General features: G+C 56.4%; 1 protein-coding gene across 6 annotated transcripts in view, besides 5 other annotated features; it reads right to left on the bottom strand.

The window, feature by feature from the left end:
* Positions 113–619: an enhancer, noted in NCBI's record as "H3K4me1 hESC enhancer chr15:93571676-93572182 (GRCh37/hg19 assembly coordinates)". NCBI's record gives its function as "activates a minimal SCP1, AML or CMV promoter by ChIP-STARR-seq in primed H9 embryonic stem cells {active_cell/tissue: H9 hESC(primed)}" and the evidence as "EXISTENCE:reporter gene assay evidence [ECO:0000049][PMID:30033119]".
* Positions 3,658–4,162: an enhancer, noted in NCBI's record as "H3K27ac-H3K4me1 hESC enhancer chr15:93575221-93575725 (GRCh37/hg19 assembly coordinates)". NCBI's record gives its function as "activates a minimal SCP1, AML or CMV promoter by ChIP-STARR-seq in primed H9 embryonic stem cells {active_cell/tissue: H9 hESC(primed)}" and the evidence as "EXISTENCE:reporter gene assay evidence [ECO:0000049][PMID:30033119]".
* Positions 6,938–27,241, bottom strand: part of RGMA (repulsive guidance molecule BMP co-receptor a) — a 53,941-nt gene continuing 33,637 nt past the window's right edge. For all 6 annotated transcript variants that reach the window (NM_020211.3, NM_001166287.2, NM_001166283.2 and 3 more), the window contains 2 exons: positions 23,660–24,174; positions 6,938–17,372 (listed from right to left, as the gene is read on the bottom strand). In NM_020211.3, coding sequence (NP_064596.2) covers positions 16,665–17,372; positions 23,660–24,174 — 1,223 coding nt within the window. In that variant the 3' untranslated portion in view covers positions 6,938–16,664. The remainder of the gene's footprint in view (positions 17,373–23,659; positions 24,175–27,241) is intronic.
* Positions 7,858–7,997: an enhancer, noted in NCBI's record as "active region_10132". NCBI's record gives its function as "activates an Ori minimal core promoter by ATAC-STARR-seq in GM12878 lymphoblastoid cells {active_cell/tissue: GM12878}" and the evidence as "EXISTENCE:reporter gene assay evidence [ECO:0000049][PMID:35858748]".
* Positions 12,174–12,343: an enhancer, noted in NCBI's record as "active region_10133". NCBI's record gives its function as "activates an Ori minimal core promoter by ATAC-STARR-seq in GM12878 lymphoblastoid cells {active_cell/tissue: GM12878}" and the evidence as "EXISTENCE:reporter gene assay evidence [ECO:0000049][PMID:35858748]".
* Positions 23,438–24,047: an enhancer, noted in NCBI's record as "H3K4me1 hESC enhancer chr15:93595001-93595610 (GRCh37/hg19 assembly coordinates)". NCBI's record gives its function as "activates a minimal SCP1, AML or CMV promoter by ChIP-STARR-seq in primed H9 embryonic stem cells {active_cell/tissue: H9 hESC(primed)}" and the evidence as "EXISTENCE:reporter gene assay evidence [ECO:0000049][PMID:30033119]".

The following is a 27,241-nucleotide window of genomic DNA, read 5'->3' on the forward strand; positions in this document are numbered from 1 at the left end:
GGGGGGATCCAGGGAGACCTAGGGGGGCCACCCCTTCTATCCTGAAGGAAATAACACTGTGTCTGCCAGCCTGTAGCTTTGAGGGTAATTTAACAGATGGGGTCTGGGGGGTGGCATTTTATAATGGAAACACTGACACAAACGTTAGCTTTAGTATTCTGGCACAGGGGCAGGCCCAGCTCTGGTGCAGCCCAGACAGAGGAAGGGTGGCACAGCCTGCGGGCGGAGATCTCTGTCTGAATAAGGGTTGAAGTTTGCCCAGATCCACGATTTTCACTAATGTTTTGGTGACTTTGAGACTAGCTCTTAAATCTTGATACCAAATAAGCCATGTGTCTACTGAGAGCTGAGCTGTCAACTGCTGTGACTCCGCTCCGTCAGCCCAGGGGACTTGGACGCAGGGGCCCTTGCCAGCCCTGGCCCGCGCTGGAGCGGGAGGCTGGGATTTTTAGTTCACGTAGTTCTTGAGAAAGACGAAGAAAAGCTGAGGGCTCTTGGTGCCCATCAAGAAACGACTCACAATCGTGTTGTAACTCATGACTCAGCTGGAACAATTTGGGGAAACTTTAAGAACAAGTACTGCAATAATCAGCTTATTATGACTTACAATAGCAACAAGGCTTCGAAACTGCCAGCTGCCAAAACGCCTGCCTTTTACTGGAAGCGGCCGGCCCAGGGCCCCTGCCTCCTCCCTCCTCCCTGGCAGGGCCTCGCACGCCTGGCATCACGGCAAGCCCTCCTCAGTCAGCGCCAACAGAAAGGTCACTTATTGAAACCCAAGTCCCTGCAGTTTGCCAGACCAGAGTCGGCTCCAGATTCCAACCTGTGGCTTTTAAAGGCGCAGGACCAGCTCTGATGTGAGGCGTTGCCTTAACTGAAGCCCCCTGCACCAGTCCTTTCTGTCATATCTCATGGGACCCATTTGGTCTCCCAGCCCACCTCAAATCTGTTCTGATCAGTGAGCGGGTGGGGAGGAGAAGGTGCAGCTGGATTCAGTGAAAGTTCCATCCTGCAGAAACCTGGGCACTAATTGAGGAGCTGTTCCCGCTGCTGCCGGTGGGCCCCTCCCCCAGGCTTGACGTCTTGGGGGTGTTCTGGTCAGTTCTGCTGGCGTGTGATGTGGTGGATGACAGTGTGCTCAGGCCACCTGGTTTTGCGCTGAGCCTCCTGCTGTCTGGCTTTGTGTGGGAACATGGACCAGTCCATGGCCTAAAGGCTTCTTACCTCGAAGATGGGCAGAACAATATCCACTTCCGGAACATCACACGTGAGCTTCCTCTTAATTTCTTTAGTGACCTAAGAAGGAATTGTTGCTAAAACACGGGCCCCGTTAACCACAGGCACTGTGGTGGCCCTCGGGGCGTTGGGGGGCTGTAAAGGGGCCTCCCGAGTCAGCGCATTGCCCCCATGTGGTCCCTCCCCATGTTCAGCTGGGTGATCACCTTGCATCTTCACCTGCAAAGGAAGGAGGCCGCTTCTTGGGTTCATGCGGTTTTTAAGTGAGAGTGTGCACAGTGGAAAAGGAAAAGGTTTGTAACCCTAAGGGCGACCTGGAAGAGACAGCATTCAAAGTCCTTGGCTGGGGAATGGGTGGAGAGGGTTGAGTCAGAGGGCAGCTGGATGGGTTGAGGCAGACTAAGGACAGAGCTTGCCCGGCCTGGAGGGCAGGCCCGGTGAGCACCGGGCCCAGCACCTCCCACTCCAGAGACTGCAAGACAAGCGAGCTGCCCTCTTGGAGCCCCATTGGCCAGGGCTTCTGGAAAGCCGCAGCTTGCTGTGCGGGGAGACTAAACCCCAGCAGGAAGGCCCAGCAGGGACTAGAACCCCCAGGAGCTCATAGTCTCATGGGGGAGACACTGCTGGAACCAGACAGTTATGGGAGAGGACGTTTTCCTTGAACCAGGTCTCCAGCCCCTCCTGTGGGCTGGTCCTGCTCCAGGAGCTGGACCCGCGCAGTGAACCAGGAGGATAAGGGCCCTGGCCCCTTGGAGTTGGTATTCTAGCTGGGGTAGGGGTTGGGGGCGGGCCCTAGAGAAGCAAACAGTAAGAGGACAAACGTCACATGAGTGCCAGGGAGAAAACAGCCAGAGGTAGAGGGACAGGGTCGTGAAAATCCTGGATCTGGGCAAACTTCAACCCCTACTCAGACGGCCAAGCCCTGGCGATGAGGATGGGCGGTCAGGAAGGCACGTGGGCCAGCGGGTGGGTGCCGGGCATGGCTGGACAGACTGGATTTGAACATTGGCTCTGTCTCTTACCAGCTGGTGTTGTGGAGCACATTCTCTATCTCCAAGCCTTAACTACAAATAGATACTGACAGCTTCTCACCAGGCTGGGCAGGGACAAGTGAGGTCCCTGAGGTGCATGTCAGGTGGGCTCGGCAGCTGTCATGATCAAAGGGTGGCACTGGGGCCTGTGCGGTGTTTGGGATCAGCTCCCACTCTCTGAAGCCTAGACTGAGGGCCCCTGAGCGAATGTGGTTCTAGAACCATCCTGCAGAGGGCAGCAGATTTCCACAAACAGCCTGCCCGGCACCCAACACCTAAACCCAACCCAGGGAAGGTTCCGGGCTCTTCCCTTGCCCGGGTGGGTCTCTCCCCCTTGGAGCCCACAACAAAGCCCCCCACACCCCAGGAGATGTGGAGCCACGTGGCTTCCGCAGGAAGGGAGACGGACGGGGAAGAGAGGGGCAGAGGCTGCAGGGAGAGGCAGCCTCACTGCCCTCCAAGAGCAGGGGACGCGAGGGGACAGGCTGCCCCGTCCCCAGCCTCCTTCATCCCTACTTCCAGCCCTTGTGCGGGGACGCACAGGGGGTCCTGCTCTGCAGTCCAGCCTCTCCTTCCTCCCACCTGGGAGGGGCAACTGTAGGGACCCTTCTGAGCCACAAGGCCCCCCTGGCATCACCGGCTGTTCTCGGTGACCTTCACCTTAATGTCCAAGCGCCCTGGTTTGGGTCTGGGGCCCTCTGTGACCTGCCCCTGCTGGCCACTCGAACCTTCTTGAGTCCCCTCACTGCAACCAGCCCCAGCTGCTCTCGGCCTCAGGTGGAGGAGGCCAGCTCCGCCTCTAGGGCATGGTCCCTTTCTTCCTCCTCCATCACCTCCATCTGCCCGCTGAGCACCTGGTGGTCTTCAAGAATCAATTCCGGCCATCTCTGGCTCTGCTGTTCCCATCTCCATGCCTGCTGGTGTCTTCCCCAGGCATCCCACAGATGCCGTCAGAGCCCCTGGCGCCCCCACCTGAACGAGGCTCCCTCGGAAAACCCAGGTTCTGTTCCTCTCTAGCTCCGCTTCCTGCCTCCACAGGTGCAGGTGAGAGGTGACAGCGTGCTGGCAGCCCTCAGAGCCCTCGCTTGCTCTCAGCACCTCCCCTGCCTGGGCTCTCACTTTGGCGGCATTTGAGGAGCCCTTCAGCACCCCCTGCACTGTGGGAGCCCCTTTCTGGGCTGGCCAAGGCTGGAGCCCACTCCCTCAGCTTGCAGGGAGGTGTGGAGGGAGAGGCGCAAGCGGGAACCTGGGCTGCGTGCGGCACTTGCAGGCCAGCTGGAGTTCCGGGTGGGCGTGGGCTTGGCGGGCCCCGCACTCGGAGCAGCCAGCCAGCTCTGCTGGCCCCGGGCAATGAGGGACTTAGCACCCAGGCCAGTGGCTGCGGAGGGTGTACTCGGTCCCCCAGCCGTGCCGGCCCACCGGCGCTGCGCTCGATTTCTCGCCGGGCCTTAGCTGCCTTCCCGTGGGGCAAGGCTCGGGACCTGCAGCCCACCATGCCTGAGCCTCCCACCCACTCCATGGGCTCCTGTGCGGCCCGAGCCTCCCCGACGAGCACCACCCTCTGCTCCACGACGCCCAGTCCCACTGACCACCCGAGGGCTGAGGAATGCGAGCGCACCGCGCGGGACTGGCAGGCAGCTCCACCTGCAGCCCCGGTGCGGGATCCACTAGGTGAAGCCAGCTGGGCTCCTGAGTCTGGTGGGGACGTGGAGAGTCTTTATACCTAGCTCAGGGATTGTAAAAACACCAATCAGCACCCTGTGTCTAGCTCAGGGTTTGTGAGTGCACCAATCGACACTCTGTATCTAGCTGCTCTGGTGGGGATGTGGAGAGTCTTTATGTCTAGCTCAGGGATTGTAAATACGCCAATCAGCACCCTGTGTTTAGCTCAAGGTTTGTGAGTGCACCAGTCGACACTCTGTATCTAACTAATCTGATGGGGACGTGGAGAACCTTTGTATCTAGCTCAGGGATTGTAAACGCACCAATCAGCGCCCTGACAAAACAGGCCACTCGGCTCTACCAATCAGCAGGATGTAGGTGGGGCCAGATAAGAGAATAAAAGCAGGCTGCCCCAGCCGGCATTGGCAACCCACTCGGGTTCTCTTGAGCGCTGTAGGAATCATCGTGAAGGTCTGCAGCTTCACTCCTGAGCCAGCGAGACCACGAACCCACCAGAAGGAAGAAACTCCGGACACATCTGAACATCAGAAGGTACAAACTGCAGAGGCGCCACCTTAAGAGCTGTAACACTCACTGCGAGGGTTCGCGATTTCTTTCTTGAAGTTAGTGTAGACCAAGAACCCACCAGTTCCAGACACACAGGGGGCTGGGAAACTGTTCCAGGGTGAACGCAGTACCAGGTCCTCTAGGCTCATTCCTTATTGTGTCTGGGTGCCCTGGTCCCTGGCTAAACAGTGGCCTGGAGGCACTTGCTGCGCTTGGAGCCTTCTCTTGTGGGTGCCCAGAGGAGCCAAAGCGGGTGCTACCTTCTCTGGGGGCTGAGGAGGCTCGGAATTCAGCCAGACTTCAGGTCCCTGCTCCCCAGGCTTCGCAGACGAGGGGGCATATTTAAAGCAGACAGGAGACAGGTCCTAGCTTAGAGCGGCTGTCTAAGACTCCTTGCTGGACTTGATGTTATCCCTTTTTCTGTTGGACTGTGGGAAGAGTCAGGGGACCTTCCTGCCGCTGAGCTGGAGTGGTGATGGGGCTTTAGGGGGTTGGGGCAAGTAGTAAATAGGGGGAGTTTGCTGATATCCTGGTGTTATTTTAGTATTTTAGCATCTACATGGCTGTGCTGGACTCATGGGCTCGTGGCCCTAGCTGCTTAGGATCAGGCCCAGGCTCTGCACTGCGGGGAGGTGGGGAGGTGGGGAGGTCTGGGCAGCAGCAGCACGGTGCGGCGTCAAGTAGCTCGCACAAGAAGGACTCAAGGCCCAGCGTGGAGACCCAGGGCCCTCACTGCAGGCAGGCTGAGAGCATGGGCTCTGGAGACAGCTCACCTTCAAATCGGGTTGCATCCTGGCTGCTGTGACCGGGCCTGGGTGGTTAATCTTACAGGGCCTCAGCGTCTGCACCTGTAATCCTGGGAGAACAGTGTTATTTTCCTGATGAGAGAACAGAGCCTGGCACATGCTAGCACCATGTGGGGCGAACCCTCATTACTGTGGTCCTCCAGGGTATACGCATCCTCAGCAAGGCCTGGCTAATGCTTGGTGATCTGGCCGGAGGTGGAGCCCATATGCCTGCCCTCCCTGGACCAGGACAGGCTGGCAGTGACACCTCTGTGGTCCCCCTGGCTTCATCTGGGGCCACCTCTTTCCACATTGTGTTAGGCTCCTGCTGACCCGTACTACAGGGCATCTTCACCTTCTTTGGACCCCATCCCACATCGCTCTGCCCCAATCCTGGAGTGCTTGTTGTCTCCTTCACTTTCTCAGCCCTGCTCTGACAGTGGAAGCAAATACTAATCAGATAAAAGAATCCCTACCCAGTTATACTGATTTAGTACTTCCCAAACGTGGGACTACAGATATATGGTGGGGAGGATGGTTCTTAGAGGTCTCTGGAAGAATTTAAACCATTTTGTTTTCATTTCATTTATTACTAATTTTTGAGACAGGGTTTCACTCCTGTCTCCCAGGCTGGAGTGCAGTGGCACGATCTTGACTCACTACGACCTCTGCCTCACAGGTTCAAGTGATTGTCCTGCCTCAGCCTCCTGAGTAGCTGGGATTACAGGCATGCGCCACCACGCCCGGCTAATTTTTGTATTTTTAGTAGAGATGGGGTCTCACCATGTTGGCCAGGCTGGTCTCAAACTCCTGACCTCAAGTGATCTGCCCACCTTGGCCTCCAAAAGTGCTGGGATTACAGGCGTGAGCCACGTGCCCCGCCTATGTTTTCATTTTAATGAACATCTTTTAAAATCAATTTAAAGAAATCCTGGAGCATTCGGAAGAGAGGGAGGGAAGAGGGACCCACGACTTAGGATTGTATCAGTGCCAAGGGGTCAGTGCTGCTTGACCCCAGGAGGATGGGGGAAACGTGCTGACGGTTGTCACAGGGCCTGAGTGGCAAGCAGAAGGGAGCTAAAGCACTGCTTGGCACCCAGGACAGGCGCTGAGCTCCGAAGAACCTGGGTCCTGGCAGCCGCTCCTTCCTCCCATGAGACAGCCTATTTGGTGTCTGCAGAACATCATCCACTACTTTAAATGAATGCTGTTCATTTGAGTTTTATTGGTTTTGTAGTTTTGTTTAGCCTTGATTGGTAAATGTGTCTTGATTTTATACTTGAAAGGAGAAATAATTACAAAGAGTTTATACCTAGCCTTATGAATAATAAAATTGACTCGAAGCAGCCCTGGAAGGCCTGGAGGAGTATTGGCCCCTAGACAGTCTGTACATTATAGGTGTTTGGGAACCCAGCTGTTGATGACCTAGACCTGTGGGTAAACAAGGCTGCCTATGAGATGGGCCTGTGCAAAGAAGCCACCTTCTACCGAGGCTTACTGGGCACCAGGCTCTGGGCCTGTTGCTTTGTTGCATTATTTTTTTTTTTCATTTAGTCTCCCGACAATCCTATGGAGTGGCATTTATCTCATTTTTCAGCTGAGGATCCTGAGGCCCAGACACGTTAGGTAACTTGCCTAAGATCACAGAGCAGGGAATTGGATCTGCTAAAACTTTATTGACGGCATATGTTAAAGACAGTAAGAAAGACTTTATTTGAGGTGGGGGGCAGTGTTGGACAGGGACCGCTGCAGCTGGGAAGAGAGATTGGGGTCCCCTCTGAATACAGTACAGGCAAGTGGGAATTGATGGCCAAGGAGCAGGGTGGGCTCAGTGGATGGAAAACCTCTTAAGAGGAAACACCTGGGGGGATTCTTGCTGAAGGCAGGCCAGGTGATCAGACGTCCCCTGGAGGCCGTGGGGCATGAAGACCACGATCAGACAGGAAGGGCAATCAGATGTGGAGGGCGGAGGATTCCAGCAAGACCAATTTAGCAGGACTCTTGCTAAAACCGAACAATCCAGAGACAAACACGGAAGCCCAAAGCCCAGGCCTAACTGGAAGGCTCAGGGCGGCCTGAGGAGAGATGGGTCAAGGCGGGGATCATTGTCAGAACTCAGATTCTAGCCCGACTCTGAAGGCCGAGCCTGTCACCACCTCATGCAATGGCTTTCCCTGCGGTCTCCCAAGGGGCTTTGCGCCAGTATGAGCTTATGTAGTTCTTCCCGCTGCCCAGTGATTAAGGCCTAGTCCTGCACCCAGTTGATAGCTAGGGCAGTGAGGCTCAGACACAGCCTGTGGCTTAAGATGAGGGTCAGAGAACCTCCTGTGAGCTCCGTGAGGACAAGGGTGTGCCGCTTCCTTCTGCCACCCGCATCCCCTTCCCTGATGGGCTGGTCACCGTGAAGGGCCCCCTCCCCACACTGCACGTGTAACTCGTGTTGTTACATATGTAAGTATGATTACACGTGTAATCACACATGTGACTCGGTTAGTGTCTGTCTCTCACCACTAGAGGTCAGTCCCGTGAGGGCGGGCACATTCATTCGAGCGACCACAGCTGTACTGCCGACATCAAGCATAGCCCCCCAGCTCATCACGGGGCCTCATGACGTATTTGTTGAATGCCTGAATGTGCCCCCAAATCCAGACTACGACCAGCCACATCGGGGGTGGCCTACAAATGTTTGTGCCAGGAAGGAAGGGAAGAAGGACTCCTCTTGTTTTATGCAACCAACACCCACCCTGGGGCACTTGCCTTAAGGGATTAATCTGAGATCATTAGCAGAGAAAGGGAAGGTCAAGTCCACTCAAGAAGGCGGTTGCCGGAGTTTTCCTGCTCCACCCTGGGGAGGGACCCCTGGCCCCGCAGACCTGGTCCCTGGTGGTCCCGGCCCCAGCCTTGACCTGAGGGCCACTCAGCGGCCCTGCTCATCAAACCGCTCTGATGGAGCCTGCCTGCCCTTTGAGCCCCTCCTCAGTCAGCCTCCCAGTGGGGGCCTGGCCCCACCCTCTGCTCACCCCAGAACCAGAGCCCTGGTTTGACTCCGCCCCTGCTGTGGGGCTCACGAGCATGCCTTGAACACAGGCTGCCTGTGCCCCCTGGAGCGCCCCGCCCCAGCTCGTTCTCTGCCCTCAAGCGAGGAGTAGGTGGGCGCAGTGAGCGGTGGGGTGGACGCGTGCTCTCCTACCAGACCCTGCTTGTAACCTGGAGTGGGTCAGTTGGCTTCTCTTTGCTTCTGTCTGTCCGTCTGTAAACCAGGGCAATATCTGCTTTCTAGGGTTTTTGTGAAATTTGACAAAGCAATGCAGGACTCGTTTCTATTTCCCAAGGAGGTAGACGTGGTGTCCAGAGGACGACAAAGATGGCAGCTCACCATGCACGTGGACCAGAGCCCACTCCATGGCTGGGCGAGCTGGGCAGTGGGTGACTGGCAGGAAATGGTCAGCTTGGAGGAACGGTGCCCTCGAGGTGGTCAGTAACGGGAGGGCTGAAGAGAACAGCGGCCAGTTACTAAGAGCACACGGTGGGCCGGCCGCCGCGCTGCATGCATTACATTTCATCTTCAGGACCGCCACGTGAGGGAGGTGGCGTCATTGTTCCCTCACAGCTGAGATAGCTGAGGCTGCAAAACAAGGAAAACCCACCCTTTTCATGCAGCCAGTAGGTGACAGAGCTGGGAGCCTGGATCGGGTCTGGTTCTGGAGCCCGGGCCCTTCCTTCGGTCTGGGTGTGTCTGTGCCCATGCCACTGTCCATCCCTGGCCATCCAGGCCCGTGAAACACAAGGTCCCTCCCCCTAGGCCAGGGCGTGGCGGGGTAGGGTGGGGCTGGTCCAGTGGACAGAGCTCTTGCATCGTTTCCTTGACGGGGTGCTTTGGGGACTGCTGCTTCCCATATTGCCAACTGCCTTATGTCCTTTACAGTCCTGCGGTCAGCATGGCCCCGAGCCAGCTCACCAGGGTAATAAACTGCCACAAGCCCCTTCTCTGTAACAGCTGACGCTGGCCTTGTTGCACAGATGGAGCTCAGAGTGAGCTCAAAACCAATTCCCCAGACAGTGTCTGAACACGTCTTTGTTCTTCTCTGGGCAGATCTGCTTGGCCAGACACATTCTGCTTTGGCTGAACGGCCTGGAGAGGGCTCCAATTCCTGCTGGGGAGAGCTGAGGGAGCAGGTTTGAGTTCAGATGTGGAAGAATCCAAGTGCCGTCTCAGGGTCACCCTGGGCAAGGACAGGGTGATGCTGGGCGACATGAATGTTTTCGCCTTGGGATCTGGGCTGCCTGGGATCACAGCCCTCATTCCGGAACGCCACTGACATTACGAGCGTGCCTTGCACACTGGCTGCCTGCAGCTGTCTATTAATTCAGACCATCCTGCTAGGACTTTCTGAGAGTGTTAGTTTCTGTTCCTTTGCCTTCAGGGTTCTGCTACTAACACCATGTCTATATCTTAGGGAGGGAAGGATTAAAAAGTCGAAATGTTGAAAAGCCCTGCAGGATGGGGAAGGTGGCTAAGGAAAGCTGTTGATAGCAGGGTTGGGGGCCTTGGCTGTGCCGATTCAGAAGGTGGTGGTTTCCCAGGGGACAATGGGAACTTCCACGGAATGAGGTCTGTAGACTCCTGGTTAGAGGGTTTGGGGGGCAGGGGTCTTCCCATTGCAGCAAGCTTCTTTCCATTGTTTCAAGGGTTTGGTAAGTAAGGCCAATCAGACCAAAGAGATGTGATTTCTGGACCATACCTGAGATTTGCACACAGGAAAGTGCAGTCCCTGCCCTTGTGTGTCTTGTCTGCTGGGAGACACAGGTATGCGAGGGCGGAGGGTGGACTGTTTCTTCAAGATGCCCTCTCCCCAGTTCTGGCTGGTCAGCCTGGGAGTATGTCAGGGCAGGGGTGGCGTGGCATGCAGGAGCTGCCCCATGGACATTGCCTTAATGAACGAAACTGTTAGTTGTTTTTTTTTTTTTTTTGAGACGGTGTCTTGCTCTGTCGCCCAGGCTGGAGGCTGGAGTGCAGTGGTGCGATCTCTGCTTGCTGCAAGTTCTGCCTCCCGGGTTCACGCCACTCTCTTGCCTCAGCCTCCCGAGTAGCTGGGACTACAGGCGCCCACCACCACGCCTGGCTAATTTTTTGTATTTTTAGTAGAGATGGGGTTTCACCGTGTTAGCCAGGATGGTCTCGATCTCCTGACTTAGTGATCTGCCCGCTTTGGCCTCCCAAAGTGCTGGGATTACAGGCGTGAGCCACCGCTCCCGGCCGAAACTGTTTAATATTGAGTGCCAACTTGATTGGATTGGAGGATGCAAAGTATCGTTCCTGGGTGTGTCTGTGAGGCTGTCGCCAAAGGAAATTAACATTTGAGTCAGTGAACTGGGAGACAGAGACCCACGCTTAACCTGGGTGGGCACCATCTAATCACCTGCCAGCGAGGCTAGGATAAAAGCGGGCAGAGGAATGTGGAAGGGCTAGACTGGACGAGTCTTCTGGCCTTCATCTTTTTCTCATGCTGGCTGTTTTTTACCCTCAAACATTGGACTCCAAGTTCTTCAGCTTTTGGACTCTTGGACTTACACTGGTGGTTTGCCAGGGGCTCTCGGGCCTTCAGTGTCCCAAACCTGCTCCTCCCATGATCTTTCCAGTCATGGTAAATGGCACCACCATTTCCCCAGGTGCTCAGACCCCTGGGGAAGACATCGTGGTCTCCTGTCAAGCTCGCTCTCTCCCCAAGCCCTGTCAGCCCCACCTTCTTATTAGACCCCAAAGGCCATCATTTCTTTTCTTAAAATTATGATTATACTTTCAGTTATGGGGTACACGTGCAGAACGCACAAGTTTGTTACATAGGTATACACGTGCCATGGTGGTTTGCTGCACCTATGAACCCGTCATCATCTACATTGGGTATTTCTCCTGATGCTCTCCCTCCCCCAGCCCCCCACCCACTGACAGGCCCCAGTGTGTGATGTTCCCTTCCCTGTGTCCATGTGTTCTCATTGTTCAACTCCCACTTACGAGTGAGAACATGCGGTGTTTGGTTTTCTGTTCTTGTGTTAGTTTGCTGAGAATGATGGTTTCCAGCTTCATCCATGTCCCTGCAAAGGACATGAACTCATCCCTTTTTATGGCTGCATAGTACTCCATGGCGTATATGTGCCACATTTTCTTTATCCAGTCTATCATTGAGCCCATTATTTCTGATAATCGCTGCATTGCCACTGCCTCAGACTGGCTCCTGACTTCCTCTTTCTTCCCCAGCGGCCCCAAGTCACCTCCATATAGTAACTAGAACAATTCCTTTAATACCCAAGCCAAGGCAGGCCCAGTGGCTCACACCTGTTATCCCAGCACTTTGGGAGGCTGAAACAGACGTCTCGCTTGAGCCCAGGAGTTCAAGATCAGCCTGGGAAAACAGCAAGATCCTGTCTCTCCAAAAAAATTTAACAATTAGCCGGGTGTGACGGCAGGCACCTGTAATCCCAGCTACTTGAGTGGCTGAAGTGGGAGGATTGCTTGAGCCCAGGAAGTGGAGGCTGCAGTGAGCTGTGATTGTGCCGCTGCACTCCAGCCTGGGTGACAGAGTGAGACCCTGTCTCTAAAAAAGAACAATAAAAAGACCCAAGTCGGACACATCATTCCTACACTCAAAGCCCGTGAACGGCTTCCTCTGGCAACTGGAGTCAAACATCAAGTCCTCCCGGAGCCGGAGAGCCCTGCAGTACTTTGGCTGCTCTGTGGCCTCACCTGGGACCCCTGGTCTGTCCACTTGCTACTGTCCAGTGACAGTGGCTTCCCACCATCCCTTAAACTCCCCCTTTGCTGCTGCTGCTCTAGGGCTGTTACACTGTTTTCTCTGCACAGAATGCTCTGTCCGGCTCTGCATGGCTTGTTCCTGAAATTCATGCAGGTGAGCTAGTCGGAGGCCTCCCCTTAACCCCACCACAGATGAATGCCCCTTCTCACCCTCCTGCAATCCAAAATGTGTGTCTCTCGGAACCTCTGGCCCACTTCCCTTTTCTCTGTGGAGCTCGTTACCATGGGACCCTGGGTTTTGTAACTGTGGTTTATTGCCTTGTCTTTCCAATAAGAATGCACAGCAGTCTGTCTGGGTCATTGCGGTAGCCCCTCACACCCCCCTGAACAATGCTGGGTAGACACCCAATAGAGTTATCAAATGGATAAATAAATGCAATTGCAGAGAGGAGGCGGCCACTTTTGGCGGCCTCCATGCGTGGTGCCAGGGCCATGTGCGAGGCCATTGACGAGTGTTAGCTCACTGGATTTCCATACTGACCTCGGGAGGTGGAGACTCACAAATCCATTTTACAAATAAGGAATCTAAGGCTCAAAAAATCCCAAGGAGACCACACAGCTCGCGACGGGTTGAGCCAGTTTTGACGCCAAGTTTGCCTGCAGCCCGAGCCCAAGTGCCACCCCTGCTCCATGCCACTTGCTGGCACAGCTCTGATGACTGTCTCCTGCCTGGCTCTGACGGGTCTCTGCCCAAGTGTTCTGGTAATGATTTTCACCCCCCCGTCTGCCCCCTTCATCGTGACTCTCATTCATTTGTTTTAAAGGCCATTTCTCTCCTGTCCTATAGCCTTGCACATTCTGGTTAGCTAAACAAGAACTCCAGTTCTCGGCAACACATCAGTGAGACAGGATGGGGCGGGGAGAGGCGCCCACCTCCGTGTGCTAATGCATTTACCTCCAGGCCGCAGGCCTCCGCGGAGCTGGCAGCCAGGAACCTCCAGAGGCTCCCAACCTAGCCCGTCCTGCAAGATGAAGCTGCTTCTTGGGAATCTTTTAGCTCAGGATGCTGTGTTCCATATTCACGACGGCATTTCCATGCTCGTGAGGGCAACCAGTAGTAAGTAGCATGGCACTTGGGAAAGAATTCCAGCCGGTTACATTTAGGGTCCTGGAAAAAAAATTCCAAACCAAGAATACTTTGTGGCTAGTGCCATTTAGCATTTTCGTCTAGTAGAGATTTCTTTTTTCTTTTTCTTCTGTGTGCCCTGGCTTCTCAGGAACTGTTCTCTGTGCCGGACGAGCACCAATGGCTCCGCTCCTCCTTGCTGCCTCCCTGAGTCGCTCTGTCCCTGGGACTGCTAAGGGCACGGGGCCTGTAGTGACGGTTCCGGCCGCCAGGGAAGATGCTGGGTACGTTTTGTCCTTTCCAGTCTGGTTCCTGCCTCCCAAACCCAACTCCCGTGTTCTCTCTGGGAGCCCTGCAAGAACAGGGCTTTAGAACGTTCTCCTTTTTTGGCCGGGCACGGTGGTGGCTCACGCCTGTAATCCCAACACTTTGGGAGGCCAAGGCAGGCGGATCACGAGGTCAGGAGATCAAGACCATACTGGTCAACATGGTGAAACACCATCTCTACTAAAATACAAAAAATTAGCCAGGCGTGGTGGTGTGTGCCTGTAGTCCCAGCTACTTGGGAGGCTGAGGCAGGAGAATTGCTTGAACCTGGGAGGCAGGGGCTGCAGTGAGCTGGGATGGTGCCACTGCACTCCAGCCTGGCGACAGAGCAAGACGCCAGACTCCATTTCAAAAATAAAATAAAGTTCTCCTTTTTCTTCAGCCTTCCTGGTCTGCCTGGGATTAATGAACTTGGCCACTCTTGGGACTCCTCCCCTTGCTAGCCTGCAGGTTCACCTCTCCCAAGAGTCCAGGGTCTGTATCGCCCCTTTCCTTCTCCCCTTAACTGATTTATCTTGCTTTGGGATAATACCACCCCCTCCCTCCCCACGACCAGACAAGCCATGTGTGCCCCGCCCTCTCCTAAGCAATTTACAGGAATGAACTCCTGACTCTCCAAACAACTGTATGGGACAGGCACCCCCCCATCTTCCAGAGAACAGCATGCAGGCTCAGAGAGGTGAAGTGACTTGCCCATGGTCACACTGCTGGGGAGGTGGAGAAGCCAGGATGTAGGCTGGCTTAACTGTGCTGCTATTCTGCCTCATGGCATTTAGTTTGAAGAGAAGGGGCTTCAGGACAATACTAACCTAGGTGCACAGGTTGTCCTTCCCGTTGCTAAGGAGCCCTAGGCAAGTCAGTTAATCTCAGAGTCTGTTTCATCGGCAAAATGGGCCTGAATTTCTTCCTGATTCACTGGGTAGTTTGTACAGATGAAATGTGATCACAGCTGCCAATAAACCTGGTCCCACAGTGACGTGGACAGCAGCCTCCTGCAGCACCACTGCTCCGCCCGGGCTATGAGAAGATGGGCACTGGCAGGGAGGGTGGCAGGCAGTCCCAACAGCTGGGGCTCCAGGCTGATAGCAGTGGCTGAGAGGGAGTCATCCCAGATCTCAGGCTATCCCACCCATCTCATCCCAGAGGGCACCATATGTCTCTCCACCACATAGTCACCTGTCTCCCTGACTGTGTTCCACTGTCACTAGAACAAGAGGATCTGGGCCTGCCAAGCTCCAAAGACAGCTCATCGTGAGGAGGAAAAGTGACTTTACAAAAGCAATGTGTGGTGGCTGTTAAACTGCTGCATCTTCTATCCGCCTTCACACCATTCTCACGCACATACACATGCGCACACACATGCCTACATGCACACACATAGGCATGGGCGCACACACAGGCATGCGCACACATGCGTACATGCACGCACACAGGCACGCACACACACAGGCATGCATACACACATGCGCGCACACACACATGCGCGCACACACACACACTTGCTGCAGGGGATCCCACCACCAAAGTCCATCCTCCACCCGCCTCAAGGGAGCCAAAGTCTGTTCAGAAAACAAACTCCAACACGTCTAAAAGAAAATAACAAAAAAACCAAACTTTACTTGCATTTAGCCATTAATAAATAATTTACAGTATGTACACGCGGTGACACTCCACACAGGTCGCAGACACGTGGACGCAGTGAGGGGTCCCCACTTCCAAGCAGAACGTGAGCAAACACAACCAAAATAAAGTGCTTCACTTTTTACTTCCAACATAGGGACCAACTAAAACCAGCAGGGAGAGGGAGGGGCCGGGCCCCGAGCGCCCTCCCACCCGCCCACACACGGTTCTGGCAGAGGGAGCAGGACCTCTTGGAGGGAGGGGGAGACACACGTTCTGCAGCCTCCTGGCCAGTGTATGAGAGGTCCCTGGGGAACAGCAGAGGGGCTGCCGATGGGTGGGTAGGGTGTGGAGCTGTAGGGCTGCTGGCAGGATCACCCTCCAGGGCCTGGCTGCACTTTTGGGAGTGAAGCCTGGCTTTGTGCTGTGGGCACAGCAGCACAGGTGGGACTGTTCTGGGCCCCTGGATGAGCACCCTGGGCTGAAATGAGGCGGGAGCCAGCGGCAAGTCTCTCCTGGCTGTGTGGCCACAGGGCTTAAGGGAAGAGATTAGAGGTTGAAGACCCTGCCAGGGATGCTCAGAGCTGAGAGTCCTAAGACCCTGCTCCTCTCCCCAGACTCCAGACGTGGATGGACCGGGCTGGGGGCTCTTGGGGTTGTGAGGAGGAAGCAGAGGATCAGGGCAGGCCAGCTGGCCCCATCCACTGGGTCTCCTGCCACACCCTGGGGCCCAGGCACCCCTGCCCAGGAGCTCTTGCATCTGCAGGAGAGAGAGGAACAGAAGTCAAGGATCTCTTCTCTGTTTAGACATTTAGAACCAAGCACTTCGACTTTCTAAGCACAGGGTGGAAGGGGCAGGGGCCCAGGCCAGAGACGGGCAGCTGAGCAGGTGCCTGAAAACCGGGACCTGCACTGGTACCCACAGCAGCCAGGTGAACATGGGCAGGGAGGCCACAGGCCAGAAGGCACCAGGCGGGCACGACCTACTGGCCAAAAGGTTCCAGCAGTCTGCTAAGGTGCCAAGCAGCGCCCCGGGGTTGCCCTGCCTGGGGCCAAGCCCCAAGGATGCCTCCCTGTGTGGCTGGGGTGTCCCCGCTGGCCTAGGGGGATCGAGTGTGCTCTCGTGTAAGAGTGTGTGCGTGCGTGTGGCGGGCACAGGGGGCCCCACGGATCGGCGAGCAGCAGTCGGCCGGGCCTTTCAGTGCATTGCGAGGGGGAAGGAGCTGACTCTGACGGTTCCCAGTGTGTCTCTGGTGGGGGTGGGGGGCTTCAGCCTGAGGGGATGTTTCACACATTCACACTGCAGGGGCGGGGCGAGGGGAGCTGCTCTCCCTCTCACACAGCTCTACTGTCAAACATCATGGCACCAGTCACCACAACCTTGTCACGTGCACTAGAAGGGGAGGGGTCCGTGCCTGAGCCCTTGGCAGCAGGCGGTCCCTGGCGTTCTGCGGGGCCATGGTGGACACGCCAGGAGATCTGCACCCCGTGGGCGGTCCCAGCCCACACATGGGGAAGCCGAGAGGACGGAGCCCGCGCCTCCCTCCACATCTACGCGTCTAGCAGAACACAGGGAGCAGGGCCAGGAGCGGGACGAGGGCGCCCAGGAGGGGCCGGGGGGCCAGGGGCAGCCCCGCAGCCGCCCTGCCTGGCAGGTCCCGAGTCCTCTCATACAGGTGCAGTTTGTCTTTGTTGGAGTGGAGCATCTTGACATCCTCCAACGCGTAGTAGGCGGCCAGTGTGAAGTTCACGTCGCCCGTGGTGAGGAGGTCGAAGACGCAGGCCTGGTAGTACAGGTCCTCCACCGGCAGCTTCTCCTTGCACTTGGCCACGGCTGTCTCGTATGGGAAGGTCTCGGGGGCTGTGGGTGCAGGGCTGGCGGCTGCCAGCCTGCGGGCACCGGTGCCCTCAGCATTGGTGTGGAAGGCCTGGAAGTCGATCTGCTGGTTGAGGGGGCAGCCCCGCAGGCAGAGGTAGAGACCCTGGCTGTCCCAGTCCTCCACAGCATTGACCACTTCCTCTGGCATGCGGACGGCAAAGGTCAGGTAGCGGCCCACCTGGCGCACCACGATGGTGGTGCCGATGTACTTGGCCTGGATCTCCACGTGCTGGCCTGACACCTTCTCAGTGATCTTCAGGCTGTTGGCCCCGTGCTTGTCCCCACCGTTCTTAGAGCCATCCACGAAGGCGGCCGGGAGCTCGTCCATCTCAGCCTGGTACACCTTCTGGTCCACACACTCCTGGAAGTTCTTGAAGATGATGGTGAGCTGCCGGGGAAAGGGGCAGAGGAGAGTGGGTGAGGCACAGTGGGAGGAGGCACAGCCCCACACTTAAGATGCTCTAGACTGAGAGGAGGGCAGGAAGGATCCCCAGGGATGCCCCAGACACTCCCTTCTCCAGGTTGGACAGATCAGTTCCACCTGCGCAGCTGTGCACTTCACATTCTTTCAATGAAAACAACTTGCCCTTTTTACTTTAAAAAGTGACTTAGAAAAATGTTAGACCACTACCCTAAGTAGAAAACTAGCTCTTTTACTATATAGGGAAGTGAACCAGAAAAATAAAAGCATAGATAATTAAAAATAAAAGGTCAAAAGCCCAGTGTGGTAGGCTGAATAATGGCTCCCAAGAAGAACATGCCCTAATCCCTGTAACTTGGGAATGTTCCCTTAGATGGCAAAAGGGACCCTGCAGATATGATTAGGTTAAGAACACTGAGATGAAGAGATTATTCTGGATTACCTGGGTGGGCCCTAGATGGAATCACAAGTATCTTTATAAGAAGGAGGCAGAGGGAGATTTGACTAACTAGGACAGAGGAGAAGGTGATGTGCTCAACAAGGCAGAGATTCGAATGATGTGGCCACAAACCAAGGGATGCTGGCAACCACCAAAAGCTGGAAATGGCAATGAATGGATTCTCCCCTGGAGTCTCCAGGACCAGCCCTGCTGATACCTTGATTTTATCCCCACGAGACATATTCCCAACTTCCGGCCTCCACAATTATAAAACATTTCTGTTGGTTTGAACCACTCAGTTTATGCTAATTTGCTACAGTGGCGATAGGAAATGAATATGGTTTGCAAACATCATCTTGCATAATGACAGTGGTACTGGAGCACAATTCCTGACAAAGGACCCAAGCAAATGTCTGAACATTACAGCAGGTGGAATGGAGGGAAATGATGCTCAAAGAAAGAATGAATAGGGCAAAATCCATGCAAGCAGGCAGAGGCAAGCAGAAGCCACTGTCCCAAGGCTGCTGAAAGGGGTCCCCAAGCTGGGTCATGGAGGAGGGGAACAGGAAAGGAGCAAGGTGCTGGTCGGTAAAAGGGAGATGGAGGTTCCAGGCTGAACGGGCAGCCTTGGCCGGGGCTGGAGCAGGGAGGCTCCTTTCTGCTGGAGCCTGTGGCCAGGGGTGAGGGGCTGGACTGAGCTGCTGGAGCAGCAGCTGGCTGGGTGGCACTGTTCTCCTGAGAGCCAGACACAGAGGCATTGGCTGCATACAGCATGCTAAGCACTGCATGTATTACTTCCAGTCTCGTGTGACACTGCAAGGGTCGGTGACATTACTCTCAATTTTCCGGATGAGAAAATGTAGGCTCAGAGAGAGGCAGTAACTTGCCTAAGGTCACACAGCCAGCAAGAGGCAGAGCTGGGATTAGACTCTGCGTTTCCAGACTCTGGGCTCTCTTGGCCACAAGCCCATAGGGTGGGAGGCCTGAGAGGAGGAGGGCCGGTGGCCAGGGGAGCAGGTGAGTTTCCTCTGCCGTCCGCGTCCTGGGTGGCGTCTGGCTGTTCTTTCCTCCCTAACCCTAAGCAGGTTTCTGGGTTGGAAACAGAGAAACTGGGAGAGAAAAAACCACCCCTTCTTCCACTCCTTTCCCAGGTGTCAGCTGTTTTGCCATGGGAGCTCTGGGTGCCTTGGTCCCCCTGGACCAAGGGCAGCTGGAACCTGGACTCCCAGCCTGAAGCCACGAAGGGAGGTGGGGCAAAGGGGACAAGGTGGCACCCAGGCCTTTTGGGACCTCCTGCTAAAATCCCACCTTTATCTGCTGCACTACCCTCTCCCAGGCCCGGCAACTACCCCCACCACTAAGCCCCAACCCCTCACCCCTCTGTAGGTCAGGGCTCATCCCTCCCCACCCAGGAGAGGGTGTGGCCAGCTAGCTGGCTGGCTGACAGAGCTCCCAGGGGATCCCACCCCAACCTGGCCTCAGAGGGTCTGCAGGCTGAAGGGGTCTGAGCAAGGGGGAGCTGCTGATGACATGCACAGCCGTTCTCTGCCTGGGCACTTGGGGGAGGCATGAGGACTGCCTGCCGGCTCTCTGGGTAGAGGGCAATGCCGCCGCGTGCCAAGGGAGTTTCTGGCCTAACAGCAGATGTGTGGCGAGGGCACAGTGCGAGGTGCTAGAAAGCAACAGGAAATAACAAGCTGCTCTGATGGGGAAGGGCAGGCAGGGAAACCACAGAAGGACCTCAGCTCAGGCAGGAGAGTCGCAGGAAGGTGGAAGGTGGGGTCTGGCCAGGAATGCAGCATGAGGCCATCCTGTTCTCTGGGGCCCGGAGGCCAGGGGTGCAGCAGAGTGGCCTGTTTGGGGCGGGCTGGCCCAGGGTCATGGCCTCAGGACCAGGTGCTAAGAGGCCTGAGGCCTGGAAAGGGGTTCCAGAACCTTCTAGGTAATACAAGCCAGTGGGGTATTCAGAGCCACTAGAGGTGCCCCTGGCCGTGTTGCTGTGGCTTTGTGGGTTCCCCATATTGGCATAAGATTTCGGGATGATGAGGTGGGGAGAACTGGTAGCCTGAGGGGTGTGGAACCCCCGGAAGAACAGAGGGAGACCCTAGGCCAAGGCTTCTGAAGAAGGAAAATGTGTTAGTCAGGCAAGGCTGGGAGGAGCTGAACGAGGGGCAGGCTGCTGGAGGACTTTACAAGAAATGGCGGTCTTCTCATGAGCCCGTTCATCTTGGGCACCCGGCGCTGTGCTTTCTGTGCCTGATGGAGGCTGCGGAGGGTCGGGGCTCTGCGGGAGTCCATGCAGCAGCACCAGGAGGACCCCAAGCGCACAGTTCCTTGAGGACCGGACTCGATTTCCTCGCATCCCTTCCTACAGGGGTCCCAGCCTGGCCGCAGGACACGGCACACTTCCCATTTGCCGTGGGATGTCAAAGGTGGCTGCGGCTGCAGCCTCTCCATCCAGCATGGAGCCCTAAGCCTCGAACCTGATGAGATTGCTGCTACTCTACCATTCCTGACCTATGGAAACGGCAACTTCATACGGTTCAGCCTCCTACTTCTTCCTTCTTTCCACCCACTGGCCAGCCCACCTCGGTGGGGAGGCCGCCTGGGGGTGCCGGAGGTGGGCCAGCCAGGGTGGTCTGGGCCGTGGGTGGTCCTGCCATGGGGGGAGGATGGGGGACTCTGGTGTCCCTGCCTGGTGTGCAGGGCCACACAGACACTGGGGGTGGGGGGGGGCGGCGTCCTGCTTTCCAAGTGCCATCAGTCTCCCTGGAACAGGAAAGGCTGGTTTCGCTCTAACCACCATCTCTCGCAGAGACAGCCTCCTGGAAGGCTGACAGGCTGCTTGACTCTTCTTGGCACCGGTGCCAGGGACTCAACCGCAAGTAACAGCATGAAGGGGGCCTGTCGAAAGCTGGCGGCTCGCTGCCAACACAGCCACGGGCGGGCTGCCGCTCCTGTCTCTGCTGCTCCCCCTTCTGAAGGGGTCCTGGCCCTTTCCACTGCACCGGGCACGAGGCAGAGCCCAGGCTGCATCAGCTACTATCTACGGAGCACCACCTCCATGCCAGGCCTGGTGCTGGGGGCTCGGGGTACACGAGGGAGAAGATCCCTATGCTTCAGGGGGTCGCAGACTAAGCAAATGAATCATGCAGAGGGACAGGCTGGCAAGTGCTATGGGGAAAACTAACCAGCGGGGAAAGGAAGGGGAAGGCGCAGGACTTGAGTTCCTGTCCTCTCCTGAGTCTCAGTTTCTTTGTCTGTAAAATGGGTATCAGCAGCACAGATGGGAAGAGGGTGATGGAGCAGGAGGCTGGGCACAGAAGGCTGTCCCACGGGGGTAAGACACTGGCTAAAATGTCCACGTAGAAAACACTAGATCTTGATCGTCCACAAGAACAGAGGGATTGGCTGATTGGCTGATACTGCCAGTATCATGAGAAACAAATAAAGGCCCCTAGTGATGCCCGGGTGTTTGGGGGCAGCTTCATGCACACACAGCTTGCACACGGAGCTTCTGCACAGGAAGGCAAATCTCATAGCTGCAAGGTCAGGGTCAGGCCAGGCAGGGGCTGGACACACTCTGGGAAGCCTGAGGAGAGGCCCTCAAGGGCAGGTGTGCAGGGACAGATGGAGTCTCTGGCTGCCTGAGAGGGGAAAGGGGAGTGGGTTCCAGTGGGTGGTAGAGTCTGGCAGGCCCAGAGGGCTCTGTTGGTGGTAGTCGAGGTGGTCACAGAAACCCAGAGGCCTCATCATCTTGGAGATGAAAGTCCCTTGCCTTTCCCTGCTCCCTGCAGACACCAGGCTGCTCTCCCACTCCGCCTGCTTTGGATGTCGACTCCTCTGTTCCTCCATCCGGAAACTTGCGCTGTGCTTCAGGGGCGAGCTTGGTGGATGGGCTCCCCAGTTCTCTGGACAGAGCCAAGGCTCCCAATGGCCTTCAACATCCTGCTGCCCCAGCCTCCATCGCCAGCTCCCCTTTGCTGGTCTTTGCTCTTCACTAGCCTGGGAGCTTCTGGGAGGGAGGGCAACAACTAGCTCAGAGGCTGGCACAGATGCAACGTCTGTTAAGTGTTTGCTCCATCAATGAGTGAACAAACACACCTGAGTAACGGAGGCCTGACAGACAGGCGGGGGCAGGCCAAAGGTGCCTGAAGCCAGCCACCGACGTTCTCACCGGGGGACCACAATACCCCAGTCTGGCCCGAGTTCTGAGACTGACTTGGCCACAGACACTGACGCTGTCACTGTCTGGCCTCCAGCAGAGCCTGGTTGACAGGGCTGAGCTCTCAGCCTGCTGAGATCAAAGGTGGCCTTCGGTTGCAGCAGAAATGGGCTGGGTTGGTGAAGCTCTGCTTCATACTCTTCTGGAAGCCTCCATGCTGGGATAGGAAGGGAAGTTCTCCCTCCACTGCTCCACCCCGTCACATCACCCCCATCCATAATGGGGGCAGCAGCCCAGCCTCCCTGCACACAAATCACAAATCCTCCCCGGTGCGTGGCTTGGCTCTGTTGTCGCATTTGGTGCTTCCACCCCCTGGGGTCTGGAGGAGCGAGCCACCTGGGGTCCACATCCCTCTCACATCCTCAGACCTCCCTGTGCGCCCTGCCAGCCCTTGGGAACCTGCAGGATGGGACAGGGAGGCCAGGTCCCCTCTGAAGCGTGCTGGTGCCTGGATTTAGAAGCTGCAGCCTCAGGCTCCTGGCGTCCGTCTGTCTTGGCTCTCAGGAGGGCGGGTGGTGGGGAGGTGCAGGGGCCGTGGGGGAGGTGGCTGGGTCCTTGATGCAGGCAGGCCCTGAGTATGCGGAGGGCTGCGGGGGCACAGGGTGGAGTGTACCGGCTGCAAGTCTTCTCCATTAGGTGTCATGTTGTGGTGCCAAGGGCCCGCTTGGGAATCCACAGGGCGAAGACCTGCTTATTTCCCGCCCAGCCAGGGACCAGAAAGTGACCCCCTGCAGGCAGGCAAGGGCCACCGGAGCAGAGGGAAGTGGCAGGGATGGAGCATTTCCTTGGCTGCCAGGTCACCTCGCTGTCCTCCTCTGGGTGTGGAGGGGTGGGAAGGAACAGAAACGCCCTTGTGGTAAATCTGGCACTGCCCGACACACGGCCTTCCAACTGGCTCTTCCTAGGAAAACAGACCCACTGCCATTTCGCCAAGCTGGAAACCCCAGGGGGCACCGGTGGGCCGGGCACTGGGGAGGGTGGACGTGTCCCCATCGCCTGAACTGGGAGCCACCAGCTTCCTTCCTGGCCTCGAGGCCTTGCCCTCTGGCTAAGTCCGATTCAGGACATCCTCCCCAAAAGCAGGTAGGGGAGGGAGGCCTGGGGTAGACAGGAGTGTCCACTTGCGTGGGTCCATGGCTGTGTGTGTGGCTGCGGCCCCATGAGCAGGACCTGAGTCCTGCTGCCCACTTGCTGAGGCCTCCTTGGGTTTGAAAACCAGCAGCCCGCAGTGGCCTCGTGGGGCCGCTCAGAATATGCCAGGTTCTGGAGTCACCCGGGCCTGGGGCAAATTCTAGCTCAGCATTCCAGCTGACTACGCACTTGGGGTGGGAAGGTCACTTGGCCTCTTAGAGCATCAGGCTCCCCATTTGTGAAGTGGAGCTATGCCTGCCAGGCCGGGCTGGCTCGAGGAAGGAGGGAGGAAGCTGAGACCCACCCCCTTGGGATGCTCAGGGAGGGTGCTCCTGTGTCCCCGCTCCGCTCCGTCTTCCCCCATTCCCAGGCACCCGAGGCCCTCTCAGCCTCTCAGTGTCCACGCAGGGCAGAGACAAAGGGCAGGGCTGTGCCCTACAGCCGCCCCCTCCCCCTTACCTTGCTGGTGGCAGTGGCCGCTGAGCCGGGCAGCACAGGCGTGTTGGTGACCTGCACGTTCAGGTAATTATTGTCGATGAGCGGCCAGGCGCCCTGCACCTTGCAGGTCTGGAAGCGGTCGGTGAAAGTCCTGAGGTGTGGGTCCCCGAAGAGGCCACAGTGCGTGTAGTTGGGGGTGGCCGAGTGCTTGTGAAAGCTCTTCTCGTAATGGCAGATCTCGGGGCTGTCCGAGCGCTCCTGGCTGTCTCCGGCCGGTGGGAGCGTGCGCAGGCGTGGCTGCGAGGTGGGGCCATCCTTGGAGCAGTTGTGCTGGCTCATGAGGTCCTCTATGCCATGGACGGCCGAGTGGTAGGCCAGGTCACCCCGGCAGGTGCGGGCCGTCCGCCGCGTGCACAGGGCGTAGCTGCGCAAGGCTGCACAGAACTCGGGGGTGTCGTCTGAGGCTGGGGCGTGGCTGCCCGACGTGGCGCTCCAGAACTCAGAGTTGCACTTGAGGATCTTGCACGGGGAGGTGGCTGAGGAGAAAGGAACGAACACACCGTCGGGGTGCAGCCTGGCAACCCCAGCTTCTGCTACCATCTGTGGGCCAGGGGAGCAGCCACACATCGCCTCATCTAGGGCAGAGCCACCCATGCCACACACAGATGGTGAAAAATTTCCTGCAGGTGGTAGGAAAGGGGTCCTTCTACCCAGCCTATGGCGACCCCAAGTGGACAAGCATGCACACCAGCAGGCTGAAAGGGCTAGTGGGGATCCTCCCACAGCGCCAGCCTGCTAGGGAGTGGTCACTGTTTGGGGGCAGTAGGACTTTGGGAGCTGACAGGCCACCCTGGGGCCGCTGACATCTATATACACTTTCATGGCCATCCCCAAGAATTTTGGCTAAAGCAACAGGAATCTGGCAGGGAATTGGCCCCACTATTAAATGTGTCCCCAGTCCTGGCATTGTATGACCTTATACAAATGGCCTCCCGTCTCTGTGCCTTGTTATACTCATCTGGAAGATGGGATGATGAGTGTGAAGTGATTTATCACGTATAAAGGACTTAGTCTGGCCCCAGCATTCACGGCCAAAACTCAATGAACGTCGCCTGGTATGAGTGCTCTGTTAGCCCTGGCCATAGAGGAACTGGCTTCCCTTATGCTGACCATAGCCCCATCCTCTGTCCTGCTCAGAGAAGCAAGCTGAGAAGCAACTGAGAGTAGTAACCTTGGATCCCTCACAAGCTTTGAGACTTTAGTGACAATTAGCCAAAATGACCGTGCCCCAGAACTATGGCTTTAACACACCTTATCTTCTCAACACACAGAACCTGCCCTTTTCTGGCCTTCCTCTGCACAGCCCATAGTGACCACAACTGGCCAGGCACACAGACCTGCAGCAGGACAGAAGTTCCTACATGGGTTCCAGGAGAAAGGGGCCAGGACACCAGCTGGGAGGTCCAGCCTCTGGGGTCACAGCCCAGTCCTGGCCTGGGTGGTCTCCAGCGGGGAAAGGGAGCCTCAGCACTCTTGTCTGGGCCACTAACTTGGCTTGTGACCTTGGAAAGGTCAGTTTGTGTCTCTGGTGCTGGTTTTACCTATAAAATTGAGTTGCACATAAAACCAAGAACAGACACATTTGAGGGCAGGCTAACGCGAGCACGAGTGCCTACCTATCCCAGCAGCCTTGTGTGAACCCAGCCTGCATTGTGCAGCCCTGGACCTGGGTGATCTCTCCCGCCTCTGCAGGTGGGTGGGCACCATCCTACTGGAGCACAAGTCACCTTCCCAGATCACAGACTTGAGCACGGGCGAGTCAGTGCTCATCTGAAATTTGGGCTCCCCCCTTCACGTGACCCGTTTGCCATACTGCCAGTAACAAGGTAATTTCAGGTGATACCTAAGTGAACACTTTGTCTTTTAATTTGAGAAGTCATATCTTTATTTAAATGTGCATTAAGAAAAAAAAATTGCTGGGTATGGCAGCTCACGCCTGTAATCCCAGCACTTTTTGGGAGGCCGAGGCAGGCAGATCATGTGAGGTCTGGAGCTCGAGACCAGCCTGGCCAACATGATGAAACCCCTTCTCTACCAAAAATACAAAAATTAGCTGGGCATGGTGGTGCGCACCTGTAATCCCAGCTACTCGGGAGGCTGTGGCACGAGAACTGCTTGAACCCGGGAGGCAGAGGTTGCAGTGACCTGAGATGGCGCCACTGTACTCCAGTCTGGGAGACAGAGCAAGACTCCATCTCAAAAAAAAAAAAAAAAAAATTGATGGAAGAGCTACAGATTTTCCATTTTATTAGCTTTAAATTGAAGAAGTATACTCACTTAAAGGGTCAGGTTAGGTAAATGACAGTCAGGTGGTGCCCGCTTGATATGGTTCGGCTGTGTCCCCACCCAAATCTCACCTTGAACTGTAATAATCTCCACGTGTCAAGGGTGGGGCCAGGTGGAGATAAGTGAATCAGGAGGTCATTTCCCCCATACTGTTCTGGTGGTAGTGAATAAGTCTCATGAGATCTGATGGTTTTATAAATGGGAGTTCCCCTGCACATGCTCTCTTGCCTGCTGCCACGTAAGATGTGCCTTTGCTTCTCCTTTGCCTTCTGTCATGATTGTGAGGCCTCCCCGGCCATGTGGAACTATGAGTCCATTAAACCTCTTTCCTTTATAAATTACCCAGTCTTGGGTATGTCTTTATCAGCAGTGTGAAAACAGACTAATACACCACCGTAAAGGGATGCTGTGGTAGATACGTGGGGGGCACTGGTGAGATGCCCCCATGTAGTCTTCCTCCTACACAGGTGTGCTCCTGAGGAGAGGTCTCCCTCCCAAGGCAACGAGAAGATTCTCTTGCCCTGCTGTCTTCACGTCTCCTTAACCTGTACAAGATGTGCAAGGGCCCAACCTACCTGTAGGCTTTGAAATGTTGGTGTGGTAGCTTCCCTGCCGCCCCCTGATAAAGCCGGTACAGGAGGTGAGTGTGGTGGGGGCGTGTATGGGGAGGGAGTGCTACGCAGAACAAGCGTTTGGAGGGACCCAGCACACAGGAACTGACTGGCGCGGTGGCCTACACACAATGCCTGTCCCGGCAGCCTCACTAATTCCAGGGGCCCGGTGTGCTGACCTGCCATTCTGCCTCCTCAGAATCATGCAGATGTGGGTGTCAGAGAAAATCAACCGGAAGGAACACTGGTCTCCTGTTAATGGATGGCCACGCTCAAGCTCCGGTTCACCTGTGGCACTTACTGTGACCAAAGTAGAGGAAAGAACACTGCCTGTCCCTTTACAGCAGGTCCCACTGCAACACAAGCAGGAGCTGTGCTGGGCTCTGACTCTCCACCACGACCAAATCTGGTAGAACCTAGGAGAGCAGGGACCGTGAAGTCCCAGCTGGCTGGCTCCGTCCCAGGTCCGGTGCTGCAGGCGGTACAGGCCTCCCCTCATTGCATCTTCCCGGTGCGACTGCCATCCCCAGCTCTCAGGGGAAAGCCGGGCTCTGCTGGGCTGACTTCTTGCCCAAGTCTCACTTCCAGGAAGGAGCCAGGGCAGGACATGAATCCAGCCCGCTGGACTTGAGAGCTCACGCCCCCG

Source organism: Homo sapiens, chromosome 15 (assembly GCF_000001405.40).
Source record: "Homo sapiens chromosome 15, GRCh38.p14 Primary Assembly".
Lineage (NCBI taxonomy): Eukaryota > Metazoa > Chordata > Mammalia > Primates > Hominidae > Homo > Homo sapiens.